We start from the raw sequence: 15010 nt of genomic DNA, 5'->3' as shown, positions 1-15010 counted from the left end.
CCAGAGGTCACTCTTGTGGCCATTTTGGTTTTGGGGGGTTTTAGCCAACTTCTCTACTGCAACCTGTTTTATCAGCAAGGTCTTTATTACCCATATCTTGTGCCAACCTTCTATCTTATCTTGTGACTAAGAATGCCTTAACCTCCTGGGAATGCAGCCTAGTAGATCTCAGCCTTATTTTACTCAGCCCCTATTGAAGATGGAGTTGCTCTGGTTCAAACACCTCTGACATTCTCACCACAAATAAATACGTATTTGAGGTAGTGCATATTAATTAGCTTGATGTAGCCATTCCACATGGGATACATATTTCAAAACATCATGTTGTATACCATAAACATATACAATTTTTATTTGTCAAGTAAATCAGGTTTTAAAAAGTATGGATGCATTATGGATAATGAATTTATCTGAGGTAATAGTTGATGTGGGATAAGCATGTATGTTTGTGCTTCTTTAATTTTAATGTGCATACAAGTCTCCTGCTGATCTTAAAATGCAGATTCTGATTAAATTAAAGACCTGGAAAGGATCAGAGAGTCAGTATTTCTAACAGACTGATGCTGCTGGTCCATGGATCGTCCTTTGAGTAGCAAGTACTTAGGATACTCTTCAGTGGTCTAGGTGACAGATGATGTAGTTAAGAGAATGGACTCGATAGAGCAAAAGACCTGGACTTTAATCTTGGTTCTGCTACTTTCTATGTGTGTGACTCTGGGGAAAGTGTCCAAATCTCTCTGAGCCTCAATTTCCTGATTTGTGAAATGGGGGCGATAATTTCTATTGCAGAGGGATGTTTTTAGTTTTCAGTGAGGTAACCCATTGAAATGCTTAACACAGTAACTGGTACTCCATAAATGGTAGCTAATGATTTTATTCTTATCATTGTCAATAAAAAACACAAGTTGATGCATCCTGCTCTGTTTCCTTGTTTATCATATTTTGAATACTAAGAGGACTTAGATAACCTTTAATTCTACTGTTTTTGCTTACCTCTATGATATGATGTTTGGAATTTCTTCAATCCTCTGTAAAAGTTGGCGTATTATGGGGTCGGGGAGGAGAAGTATCTTTTCCTCACCCTCAGGTTCTTGGTTGACTCCCCTGTAACAAAAGACAGATTAACGAGAGAAAAGCACACAGATTTATTTAACGTAAGTTTTATGTGACACAGGATTCTTCATAATGGAATGAAGACCCCCAAAACTGGTAAACCTGTGTATTTTTTATGCTAGATTTGATGAAGAAGTACATAGTTGTGTAGAAGTATGATTGAATAAGAAAACATGAGCTAACAATGGGAGGAAACATAGCAAGACCTGTTTGTTCAGATTCTCTGTAACCCTTTGTTTTCAGAGATAAGGATGTTCTTTCATTCCAGGTATGGGAAGTGAGAAACCTTTCACAGGAGGGTCTTAGACCTGCTTCAGGAGAAGGCCAGATAATTCTTCCTAGGTTTTATGACCTGCTTCAGAGAGGGCAGAAGGAAGGTCAGAGAGTGACCTCTGACCTTCTGGCTTCTGCTGTCTTCTCAAATTCATTCAGCTTACAATATTTCAGGGTAGTATGTCCTGAACCCCATCATGGGCAAATAGATATATTTCATCCCATGCAATTGAGTCTTTCTAAATTTGATGGACAAAATCTGGGATCCTTAAATTAACACATTATATCTGATTATTAGGATGGGAATTCGAGGTACCTGGCCTCCTAATGTAAGTTTATTCCTTCATTATGTAATTTTAATTTGTTTGGATTGCTTTCCAACTAGTGGCTCTCAGGCTTGGCTGTAAGTTAGAATCACCTGGGGCTGGTCCCATCCAGATAACCGAAAGAGTGGGGAGGGGAGCAGGTGTTTTTTTTGTTTGTGTGATTTCTTTTGTTTGTTTATTTTTTACATTTCCCAGCTGATTCTAAAGTGCATCTAAGATTGAAAACCACTGATTCTAATAACACAGCATTGTGGAATGATTCGCAGCTGATTCTAAAGTGCATTTAACATTGAAAACCACTGATTCTAATAACACAGCATCGTGGAATGAATCAGGTATAATCCAATAGGTAAAAGGTCTGAGTGGGGAATGAAATATCTAGAAAGTAGCATTTTGAAGGCTTTGGGAATGAAAGAAAAGCGTCATCACAAAGCTGTCATGGAATTTGATGAACTAACTATAAATTTTGCACTAGTTATCTTTGAGATTAACTACCAGGGACACTCTTTCTCCCCTACCCTCCTTGTATCTCTTGCTGTGCTTGTCTAAGGGTTTTCCTTATATTGAATTTCAGGTTGTGTTTCTCGTCCTGTACTTAGTTTGCCTCATTCCTCATAGCTGGGGGTGGAGTGGGGGGCTATAATCCCATTAAAACTGTGTTCCAAAGAAACTCAGTGACATGCTTTCATGATCTATGGCAGTGTTATTGAAAGGGTTTAAACAGTTGTTCAGATAAAATACCACTCATTTTTACTGGTAATATTCTTACATTCTAATTGAGTAGCTTGAAATGAACCATTGAAATGAACCACTTCTAGAAAGGCTGCCTATTATAAAGTTTTCTTCCTACCCCCATCCTCTGTCAAAGCAGAAGAATAATTAAGCTAATTTGATTACATACCTTTAATTTTCTTGATAATCCATATATGTGGTGATTGTGAGGGAGGAAAAAAGAAAAACAATCCTTTCTCTACTTTCTTAGGTTCTGCTCCTGGGGCACTGAAAAGTAAACTGACAAAAGACAGATTAAGAGGAGAAATCATTTATTACATATGCATACAGAGGCCTTCATAGAAAAGAAGTGAAGACCCTAAAGAGGTGGTTAGGTCTGGGGGCTTATATATTATGTGGAGAAGAAACTAGACAAAGTGAAACCTCCTTTGCAAAAATTATGACGGTGAAAGAGATCTGACCTAACCGCATCTAACTTGCCTCTAACCTCCAAGCTGTCCTCGTTCATTCCTGTGCGTAGGCCAGACTAACTTTGGGAGGATCTTAGTTTATAGTGTAACTTTGGAACAAAGATGATAACAACCCTTTCCCAAACCCCCTAGGACTAACAAATTAGCCACAAGTTTAGAAATTATGGTTTAGGAGTCATGCAACTAGAGGCCACAAGATTCTAAACCTCCCCAGTTGCTCCTAGGGATAACATCAAAACCTAAGGTTGGTGCTGGAGATATTTTTCCAACCTTGCACTAGATGGATCAGATAGCACCACCCAGGTTGATAAACTGGCTCATTTGGTCTTGTGCCTCCATGCAGGAACTGACTCAGCACAGGAGGACAGCTTTGACTCCCTGTGATTTCATCTCCAATTCGACCGATCAGCACTCCCCACTGCCTGGCCCGCTACCCACCAAATTATCCTTAAAAAATCCCAGTCTCTGAAATGTTCCAGGGAGACTGATCTCAGTAATAATAAAACTCTGGTCTCCTGTTCAGCCGGCTCTGCATGAATTAAATTCTTTCTCTGTTGCAATTCCTCTCTCTGGATAAACCATCTGGGCAGCAGGCAAAATGAACCTGTTGGGTGGTTACAAAAGGACAAGGGGATTTGGGCTTCTGGGGTAGGGGGATAAACTGTGAAAAAATGACTAGGAAAATGTATGGTAAATGAAGGTTGTTTAGTAAGGTTTGTTTATGCAGGTAAGAAGTCTCTCTGGTAGGGAAAGGGGAAAACCTTTATTTATAGAAAATATGTCACCTTTACAAAGGAAAATCTGTGCCCTGCTTTTAGCTAGATGGAGGAGGGCAGAGGTGTTTTTTTTTTTGTTGTTGTTTTTTCTGAATCTGCTGTTCTTAATTGCCTTCAACTCAAATAACCCTTATGCCAAAGTGGCATATTTTGGGGTAGCATATTCTGATCCCCTTTCAGACCCTTTCCTTTGGAAAGTTGTTTTTCTGACTCATAGAAAATGCATACAGTTATATTTGAGTATTTATATTTATATTTAAACCCTTATATCAACGGTCCAGGAACATTCTTGGTTTGAATATATATTACCCAGCACCGTAATTTCATTTTTCAGCATTTCCTGAACCTTTCTGCCCACCAGGAGGTTATTTCACAATGTAGTGGCCTTACTTTTCTGGTCTGTTCACTCCATACAGAGAAAAAGAGAAAGGGTGGGAAAAAGAGTGTTTTTGCCAGAGTGTTAACTGCAGTTAAAAATCACTTATTTTAGGGGTATTTTGTTTGTATGCCAGTGTTTTCTTTTAATGATGAATAAGTGGGAATAGAAGAGAAAATTGAGAAACTGCTTGAGAAGTTCACAAAAGATACACATTTTCAGGATTCTGTAACTTAAAGACTCTTGCTGAGTCTTTTTAAGTGTTTATTAGTGTTCTTTGTTATGGATTTACCTCTTTTTCTTAACAATCAGAATCCTATTAAAATTCAGTATATTTTGCAGTTTCTCAGACTCACAGCTACTGGAGTTAGAAACCATCATAGATAATGTTGAAGTATCAGTACTCCCTCACAAGGTTTAATGCATGAATATTTTAGTTAGACCAGGCTGGAGGAGCATACAATCTACAGTCATTTAATCACTGAAGTCTGTGGAATGTGGTAAGAACAAGATTTTTATTTTCTGAGAAGTCTTCTTCCCACATCTTAGTTTTGAAAAAACAAAGCAAAACACAAAACTCACTGCTGCCTTTGGACTCCACATTAACTGAAGGACGGTACCTGCTTGGTTTTGTCAGTAGATGTTTAAGCTGTGCCCAGAAGCACAAGTTTACCTATGCGTTTGGAGCCCTGAGGACAGGTGGAGGGAAGGGTTGGAACCTGCTTAGAGTAAGATTGTTTCAGTCCTGGAGCACTAGCGATTCCAGTTCAATCTCTTCTAGGAATGACCCTGGCAAGAAATCCAAGGGAGAGCAGGAGAGGCAAGAGGGAGGTAAAACAAATGCAGAGAGTGTGGGAGAGGTAGAACAACAAAAAATGGTGGGGTGGAGAGAGAGGGGAATATTTTGTTTTACAGCCACTTGTGTAAGTAAAATTAGTCTCTGCCTGTCAGTTACTACATCATCAGAAAGTGGCAGGTCTGATTTTCACTGGATGTAGTCTACCACTTTGTTGGCCTGCCTGGAAGCATAGACTATGTAGCACACCATATGCCACTTTGGGACGCCTTACATAGATGAGTAGTCAGAGTCTAGCGCAGCTGAAATTGAGGTACCAAGGCCTGTGCCACCAACCTTTCCCAATTTAATTGATCTGGACGAGACATGCTCTAGTGATTCTAACTTGTAGCCAGGGCCAAGAACCACTGGTTAGAAAGCAATCCCAATGGGTTAAAATTATGTAAAGAAGGGGGCACTGTAATTGGCTACATAAATTTCCATTAGAAGGCAAGGTACCTTAAATTCCCATCTTAATAATCAGATATAACATGTTACCTTAAAGATCCCAGATTTTTTCCATCAAGTTTAGAGAGACTCAATTGTATGGGCTGAAATATATCTATTTGCCCATAATACCTCAAAATTTACAGCAGATTGAAGGAGTTCTAGCTTGGGCCATATGCCTACCACTTGGAATTGTTTCTATAGCCAGTTGGAGGGGTACTGTGAGTGGCCAGGTGTGGAGCAAATGCCCACCCTGGGAGAGGAGAGATTCACCCAGAGGAAGTGGGCCAGGGCTGCCACATTCTTAGCATCAGAGGCCACCATTCATACCAGAGTATATGTGACTGGTGCCTGCTGGAGTTGTGCTGTGCAAAGCTTGCAGGGCTGTACACACAGAAAGGCCCTGGTTAACGAGAGCTGCTGATACCTTCAGAAGAGGGATGTGACACTAGGGATACAGCAAAACAGGTAGCCACTGTAGTTTGAAATCCCATTTGCTGGGTTCTGCCAGCCTGGTGGATAAAAACAAGGCCAAGAAGCTTCAGAAAAATCTACAGCTGAGGCCCTCTCTTGGCTCCTCTGAGCAGGGATAAAGCTTCCTCTAAACTAAGGCTTCCTCTAGCCTCTTGAACTTCCACAAGGCAACAGGCCAAGGTTTCCCTGGCCTAGAGGTGTTAGCTGTGTTTGGCTTCCTGTTGCAGATGGAACAGCTGGGTCCAACTCCTGTGGGTTGAGGACTGCTGGAACTATATGCAAGGGCCCTGGTGAGGCCAGAAGTGTTTGCATTTCCAACAAGCTGCCAGGTGATATATATGTTGCTGGTCCATGGGCTACACTTGAAATAAAAAGATTTCAGATTTTTGTGGCTTCTACTAAGTTGCCATTCTGTTTTAATGTAATGAGTAGTATTGTTTAGAATTTGTGTATATATATATATATATATATATGGCCAGTTGTTTTTCTTTGCAGTTTTATTTCTCTTTGTAAAATGGACATAATAGTACCCACTTCGTAGATTGTTATGAATTAAATGGGATGATCTATATAAAATATCAGCACTGCCCTCATGGAGTCTAGTGAAGGGGACAGATAACACATAGGCAAACACCTGTAATAATAATATGTCAAGTACAAGAAGGAAGATTATAAGATACTGTGATAGAAAGAGGGATGAGTAACCTATTGAGATAAAATGGCCAGACAGAAAGAGCTGAGAATTAAGCAGAGACCTAAGTAAAGGATGAGAGGGAGCTGGCCATATGAAGAGCTGGTATTAATAGAATGGGGTCCCAGGCAGAAGGAATAGCCTATACCAAGGCCTTAAGGTGGGAAAGAGCTTAACACCATCAAAGGGAGAAAAGAAGGCCCCTGTGGCTGAACCATAGAGAGGGAAAGGGAGACTGACATCAGATGAAATTGGCTGTATAGATAGGGCCCAGGCCATACAGGGCCTTGAAGTCAAAGTATGGAATTTGGATTTTTTTCCCATGGGTAATGCTCCTGTCCCTGGATCTCAGTATTGTGGTTGGATCCATGCTGTTTGCTGTCTAGACCTCTCTTCCACTCATCTGCTTCTCCACTACTTCTAGACTTTTTTTTTCCCCTCCCTTTGGCCAGAACATGAGTTACAGTCCTGGCTGATGCTTCCCTAATGCCTACTATCTCCACAGGCTAATTTGTTACCTGTTAATACACTCTCTGGACCCTAGGTTCCATTTGTATAACCCAATTCCTTCTCATTTCCTTCACTAGGTTCTGATCAGAGCATCTGCGATACCCACTTCTGCCCCCTAATGCGGTATCACATCCATATCCCTCCTGATTTGACTTCTCTGCCAAATGGCAGTGAAAATCAAGAACAAAGCCCTAGCAGTAGTGAGGCAGATGAATACAATGAAAGGGACTGACAGTTTGGGATCTTTTAATTGGTGGAAAGAAGAGGAGATACATAATTTTTATATGTTAGAATCATGGCTTCAAGAGATTTTTAAAAAGAGCTTGAAAGAAGCTGGTTGGATTCATCTAGTCTACTCTCCTTTATTTGCATATTTGAAAAACTGGCTGTAAAGAGGAAAAATGACTTGGTGTGGGTCACAGACAGTGCAATTGGCAGAATGTTGACCTTTCTTAGTCTCCTATAGGTTAGCTCCTGTGTCTTTTGCTTCCTTCTTATACTTTTTACAGCTTTTATTTAACCTTTGATTTTAAATCAATGCTTCTCTTCCCTTTGGACTGTAAGCTCTATGAAGGGCAGCGGTAGTGGCTATTTTGCTGATGGCTGTCTCCCCTGCACCTGGTCCTTATGCAGGGTGAGTGATTTATGTCAGGTCCCTAACTGAGAATTCAGTGTTAGATTTTGCACTGTACCACACTACTTCTGGGCCATCTTCTGTTACTGATTGTAAGTCATTTCTCTGGTTAGCTGAGTCTTGGCTGCATGGGGAGTATATGCAAGTGAAATCTACAGAAACTGCAGACTTCATCCCCTTTTACTATTTCTCTGAATTTGCATAGCCTCCCGTTTCCTCCCCATAATGGTGATAATGCTTTGTTTATTGTGTTAATATTATCTATCTTCCCTCTCTAGAAAGATAGCACTATGAGGGCAGGGACAATTGTTGGTGCTGTTTATTGCTGTCTCCATGCATAGAACAATGCATGGCCTATGATAAACAAAATGAGGTGTGACTCATCATAGCCATCAAGATCTGAAAGTCTGGGTTGTCTGAAGACTGTTGCTCTGTGCAGATGGGTTATTTATACTTTGTAGAGAATAAGATTTTTCAAATACTGGGGAGTCACAGAGGGACCCTTGAGAGAGGAATTATAAATAAGAGCCCATTATCTGACCCTGAGGACTCACTTCTGGCTTTGCCTCTCATTTGCTGTGTCATCTTGAGTGAAGTGCTCAACCTCTCTGAGCTTCGCTTTCCTGTAAAATGGAGATGATAATACTACCTAGCTCTTAGAGCTGTTGTAAGAATCAAGTGAAATCATTGATTTCAATTATGTTCTACACAGTGCCTGATACATACTCAGCACTCAATACGTATGACCTGAGATCAGTGTCATTAAACCTGGAATGTTACTCTATTCCTGGCTAGCAGTTATACATGCATTCCAGTTTTTACTTTATAAATCATAACTAAACCTTTCCCATAGTACTATGTTATTTGGTGAAGTTTCATATTCACTTTGACCATCAAATAAATGTAGAAATCATCAGTTCTGGCTATTTAAAGTTTACTGAAAATGTTGATGAACAACAACCCAGGATTCAGCACAAAAAAATAAATCCTGGTTGATGTTAAAGACAGGAATATAAATCAGAAAACAAACATATCTGCAGTACTGTAATATTTAAATGGCTTCTCATAAACACTTAAGATTCTCATTAGTCCAACATCAGAAAAATGATAAATATTAATATCTGTCATCAAAGGAAAGCTTAGAAATCAAAGCAGAGTAAACAACTGTTGTATTTCAAGGATTACATAATACTGAAAGCATTTTTAATTAAACACCCCAAAACTCTATTTTTAAAAAACTTTCTGTACGAGTTGGTTTATTTTTATCCAGTATACAAACTAAGATGGATGTACATTTAATCAGAAAAAATGCAGGTAATTTGTTGAGTCAGATCATGTTCTCAAAGATTTAGGTTGTGTTGTATGTCTACAAAAGAGACCCACATGTGTCTGAGGCAACCCTCCATCTCCATTGATCTTTAATTCTATTTCAGGGGGATTCCATTGGAAATGGGCCCTAGGTAGATCATGTAAGGGCATGGGTGCTTCCTGTCTTCATTGTGGGTTCTCTCCTGAAGAGCCTCTTCTCAAGTCATGTTGCTGCTACTCTGAGTGGGCCAGGAAGCATATGCAGCAGTCCCAGGGTCAGCAGGGAGCAGAGAGAGGGAGGACAGTCTGCTGTCATCACTCTGAAGCTGTCAGCTTTCCCTTCCTGCTTTCACAGTGCCTGAGATAGCTGACTCAACATGAGATGGCTACATCATGTCAACTGGGAGACCCAGGTTTTAGTTCTGGCTCTCCCACTGCCTTATGCAAGTCTCTTTTCTCTGGGCCTCCCTTTCCACATCTGTAAAGTGAGGGCTTGGATCTGATCATTCTGAAGTCCTATTCCTCTCCAACATTCTGTGACCTGGGTAGAGCACTTCAGGGACCTAATGAGCTGTTTTCCCTGCCCTCTGTAGAAGAGTAATTCTGGAGTGGCTGGCTTTGGAACCAGTCAGAGCTATAGCTCATCTTAAGTAACTCATTTAAGTTCTCAGTTTCCTCATCCATTAAATAAGAATAGTAAAAGATTGTTGTCAACACAAGAGATGTCACTGGGAAGGCATCTAGAGCTGCATTTGGCAGGTCACAGGGATTGAATAATGATGCTGTGTTATTATTATTATTACTAATTACCATAATATATATTATATAACAATAATATATATTTATATTTATATATCTATATTATATTATTATAACATATAATATAATATACTATATATTATAACAAAAATATATTATTATAGTATATGTTATAATACATATAGTAAATATAGTATATTGTTACATACTATATTTATATCTTGACTTAGCACTTTCCTGGCTCTTTATACCACAGTTTTCTCATCTAAAAATGGGGATAGTAAGAGAACTTACCTCATTGGTTAGTTGTGAGGATTAAATGAGATAATACATGAAAACACACAGGGCACTTTCTGGTACATATTAAGCACTAATGACATGTTAGTGATTATTTTAGCTATGATTTTATTATTGGTCACAATACCTTGCTTTTAGTGAAAGTACTGGACAGGACAAGGTGAATGGGGTAGTTACATTCTCTAATACACATGCTGAAGTCAATTTCCAGTGGTCTAAAAAAACCCAACATTTTCCCTAAACATCTCATTTATCATAGGGAACGCTAAGTAAATGATACTGAGTCTGCATTTAAAAGTCAAGTATCTGTATCCAACATGGGTTCTTTTTTTTTTGAGACAGAGTCTCGCTCTGTCATCCAGGCTGGAGTGCAGTGGCGCAATCTTGGCTCACTGCAACCTCCGCCTCCTGGGTTCAAGCGATTCTCCTGTCTCAGCCTCCCAAGTAGCTGGGACTACAGGCATGCGCCACTGCACCCAGCTAATTTTTCCAACATGGGTTCTTAAACCAGGATGCTTGGGCCTCTTTAGGACCTAAAATTTCAGGTCCATGATCTATCTGCACATAAAAATTGAAAGCAAGTTAAAAGAGACCTTACTTTTTTTTTTTAAATTAGATTACTATGGCCAGGCACTGAACTAAGATCTTTATGTAGATTTTCGTATTTCATCCTCTTAGCAACTCTATGGAGTCGATACTTGTATTATCCTTGTTTTACACACGAGAAAACTGAAGCTCAGAGAGGTTAAACAAGGGCTCAAGGACACCCAGTTGGCAAGTGGTGGGCCTAAGATATGGACCCAGGCCATCCGGCTAGGGAGCTTGAGCTCTAATAGCTAATGTCCTTAGGTGGCAAAAAGGTCAGACCTGCCTGATAGCTACCTTTTCTGTAAAATGAAGTCTAATGGATAAGGACAAGGATATAAAAGGAATTGCTTTTATCAATGACATAGCAAATTAACATTCATTTTTATTGTTTTCAAGATCATTCCATTTCAAGTGAGGGGATGAATTTCAATACAAATTAGACTTATTTAAGGAAACATCAATATTTTTCTCAAATTAGCAGTATCAAAACCTTATGGAATTAAAGAAAATGTACTGCATTTATACAATGCAAATTTATTTGGAAATAAAATTTCTTTATCATTTTCTGTAGCTTAGCTTACAGCTGTTGCCATGTCTATTTTTAAAACACAAAAATAAATTGTTTCTTGTTAACTCCATTGGATCTGCAGGCAGGTATTAGACAAAGTTGGTGTGGATGAATTGAACATCTTGGTCGGAGGGCCCAGAATATTCTGTAAGAAGGTGCTATTTAGAAGAAATTTTCTTACCAACTGCACAAGAAAATAAATTTGGAAGATTTAAAAAAATATAGAAATACTCAAAAAATAAAATAACATTGCATTTCACCCATTCATGATAGCACTATCAATATTTCAGTGTGTGGCTTTTTTTCCATTGTTTTTATTGCATGCATATTTGTTCTGTTAGTTTTCTAACAGAAAATGGACACATTTTTCTAAATTTGGATAATACTTTACATACAGTTTTGTTTTCTGTTTTCACTCGTCAATATATTGTATGCATTTTCCCATGGCATTAATGTCTACAGAGTATTCCACTGTTAGAACATGACATTATTTTTTAATCTATCCCACTTGGTCAACATATAGGTTTTCCTCACCATTTTTTCTGATGTATTTGCACGTGTGCATAATCACATTCATGATTTTTTCTTAGGAGACATTTCCAGGAGTGGGAATGCTGGGCCACGTTGTAAAGCTGTAGGAGTAGCTGCCTGGTTTTTCTTTGCAGCAAGCAGTGCTCCCCTATGGATCTCGAATCCTCACTAACAGCTTCTCCTGGGCTCTACTTCCCAGGAGCTTCAGAGAAGAGAATACAGAGCCAGAAGCTAGTGGGGCAATTAACCACATCAGTCTTCAGTTTCTGCTGGTTGATCAAAGAAATTTGCTGGGTTGCCTGTACTGGCCTTAATGTGTCATGTATTATTTAATAGGTTACTATGTCAGCTTCAAATGCTTTCAGCTGCAAGTAACCTGCTTAAAAAGAATAGAGGTTTGTTTCTTCCACATAAAAAGAAGTCTAGAAATGGTTAGCTTTGGCTTTAGTTCAGCAGCTCAGAGATGTCAAGGAGAGTGTATCTTGCAGTTCTTGGCCTTTCCATAATGGCCACAGAATTGCTGCAGCTGAAGCAAGCATCATGTTTGTATTCAGGGAGTCAGGAGGGGGTGAGAGGACAGAGAGATGAATGAGACACATTCTTGATCCTGGGAGTTGTTAGCCTGATTAAAAAAGTGGTGCTTTTTTCTCATATTGCAGAAATAATATATGTTCATTATAGAAAATATATTTCACCCATAATCTTGCCACTCAGGTAATCACTACTCTCATATTGGTGTCTATCCTTCTAGTCTAGTTATAAATGCACAGATGCACAAAAAATGGAATTGTCCATTTATATACTGTTTTGTAACTGGCCTTTTAAATCAGCATTTAGCTCAGTGCCTAGTACCTGGTAGATGCTCTAAAGAAGGTATTGAAAAATTAATGAATGATTTAAAAAATATACTATGAATACTTTTCTGTGCCACTGAGTATTCTACGGTATATGTTTTACAGTGTAGTTTTTGACAGTTGCATGTTACTGGATTGTTTAGATGGCCCATAATTTCCTTCACTGGTTCTTTATTATTTTACATGTAGATTAAAAAAATTTTCTTAACTATGATAAATAATTCTGCAGTGAATGTGTGTGTGTGTGTGTACACAAATCTCTTATTATTTTCTTAGATAACTTCCTTTCAAAAGTGGAATTTCTGGGTCTAGGGATATGCCAGTTTTAAGGACCTGGATGTATACCACCGAATTGCCCTCTCCAAATGTGTGACTAACACCAGCAATGAGAATTATAATCTTTTAGCTCTTTATTTTTACAAAACAATATAAAAAGGTATAAAGTGAAATTTTGTTCTTGCTCCTCTTCTCATACCCTCATCTTTGTACCCATCTCCCTTAAGGTAGTAGCCACTTTTATTAGCACACAGGCAAATATGTATGTACGTTATTTTCCTTCCTTTCTTATATAAAGATATTGTACAATACACATTGTTCTGTACCTTGCTTTATTTGGTTTGACTGTTATATAATGTTCCATTATGTGAATATTCTATTTATTTACCTGCTCTCCTGTCCAGTCTTATTTGAAGCCTGTGTCTTTTCAGCCAAACTGGGCCCAAGTTAACCTTAATATTCTGGCCCTGCACCTAGGCCTAATAGGAGCAGGCAGCTGTATCTTAATTTCCTAGTCCTGTGGTCTGGCCTACTACATATTTTGACTGGCTCCCAGGGCATACTTTGCAGTATTTGAAATATTCTGAATCTTCTAAGAAGGGAGAGAATTTCAAAGGTATGTTTCTCCTCTTGAAGACCTCCCTGGTCCTCCCCTGTCTTTGATTATGAGAGAGTTTTATCTTCTAGTTTAGGTAGAGAGCCAACCCCTCCTCCTCCAAGGGGTGGTGGGCATATATGGGAAATTATGACTCACATACCTTTTAAAGAATTTCATCTCACAGAGTGCTGTGTCCATTGTATGTTTATGGAATACGTTTTTTCTTTTTTCTTTTGAGACAAGGTCTTGCTCTGTCCCTCAGGCTGAAGTGCAGTGGCAAGATCTCAGCTCACTGCAACCTCCACCTCCCTGGTTCAAGCGATTCTCGTGCCTCAGCCTCCCAAGAAGCTGGGATTACAGGTGTACACCATGGTGTCTGGATGATTTTTGTATTTTTTTTTGTAGAGACAGGGTTTCGCCATGTTGGCCAGGCTGGTCTCGAACTCCTGGCCTCAAGTGATCCACCAGCCTTGGCTTCTCAAAGTGCTGGGATTACAGGCATGAGCCACCATGCCCGGCCCCCATTGTATGTTTAACTTTTACATATGGACAGTCTTGTATTGCCTTATTTGTTAAAGGCAAATGTCAACTTTACTTTTTTTTTCTCACTCCTTTTATTGGTGCAGAAGGGCAGAGCCTACCTTTAAGAGCCCACCACAGTCACAACCCAAGCACATATTTTCATTATTCAGAATTTATGCCAGTTCAATAATATAGGCATACAAAAAATAAGGGCACATTCCTGCATCACAGTTTCATTTTCCATATGTATGGCTCATGTAGTTCCTTATCCCTCCCTGTGTTTTCTGCCTCAGCCTTTCTTTTTTCCATAGCACTTGTTACAATTTGAAGTTGTCTCTTTATTTATTGCCTTTTTCTCCAGCTAGGTGTTACTCTCTGTGAAGGGAAGAACTGAGTTGGCCACCAGACTCTAGTACCTAGCATAGTGCCTGGAATATAGAAGATCCTCAGTACATCTTTGCCAAACAAATGGTTCATAGTAACTGTCCATATGCTATGTATAAAGCACAGTTGATTATATTTATTGAGTTTGAATCTGACCATTGTTTGAATTAATAAACAACATTAAGAACTTTTAGAGCCCAGTGAGCATTTTTTTTTTTTTTCCGTAAGAGACCGAGACTCACTCTTTTGCCCAGGCTGGAATGCAGTGGCATGATCATGGCTCCACCTTGAACTTCTGGACTCAAGAGGTCCTTTCACCTCAGCCTCCCGAGTAGCTGGAACCATAGGTGCCCACCACCACACCTAGCAATTTTTTTTAAACTTTTTGTAGAAATGGGGTCTTATTATGTTGTCCAGGCTGGTTTCAAATGCCTGGACTCAAGGGATCCTCCCACCTTGGCCTTCCAAAATGGGGTTTCAGGCATGAGCCATTGCACACAACCCAGTGAGTATTTTTTAACTGAAATTTTTATTTAGATAGTTCTAGATTCACATGCAGTTGTAAGAACTAGTATAGAGAGATTCATGCCTATGCGTTACCCAATTTCTCTTCATGATAACATTTTGTAAAACTATAGCATCATATTTACTAGCGACTCATTTTATTT

The 15010-nt window shown here is 39.2% G+C and overlaps 1 protein-coding gene across 8 annotated transcripts in view, besides 2 other annotated features; it reads left to right on the top strand.

The window, feature by feature from the left end:
* FHIT (fragile histidine triad diadenosine triphosphatase) overlaps nucleotides 1-15010 on the top strand; it is a 1504176-nt gene that overhangs the window by 5395 nt on the left and 1483771 nt on the right. The gene's annotated exons all lie outside the window — the stretch shown is intronic.
* Nucleotides 8997-9246: an enhancer, noted in NCBI's record as "active region_20023". NCBI's record gives its function as "activates an Ori minimal core promoter by ATAC-STARR-seq in GM12878 lymphoblastoid cells {active_cell/tissue: GM12878}" and the evidence as "EXISTENCE:reporter gene assay evidence [ECO:0000049][PMID:35858748]".
* Nucleotides 9447-9556: an enhancer, noted in NCBI's record as "active region_20022". NCBI's record gives its function as "activates an Ori minimal core promoter by ATAC-STARR-seq in GM12878 lymphoblastoid cells {active_cell/tissue: GM12878}" and the evidence as "EXISTENCE:reporter gene assay evidence [ECO:0000049][PMID:35858748]".

The sequence above is a fragment of the Homo sapiens genome, chromosome 3, assembly GCF_000001405.40.
Source record: "Homo sapiens chromosome 3, GRCh38.p14 Primary Assembly".
NCBI lineage: Eukaryota > Metazoa > Chordata > Mammalia > Primates > Hominidae > Homo > Homo sapiens.
Note: the sequence above shows the minus strand (reverse complement) of the source record. Positions and strands in the feature narration are given on the sequence as shown.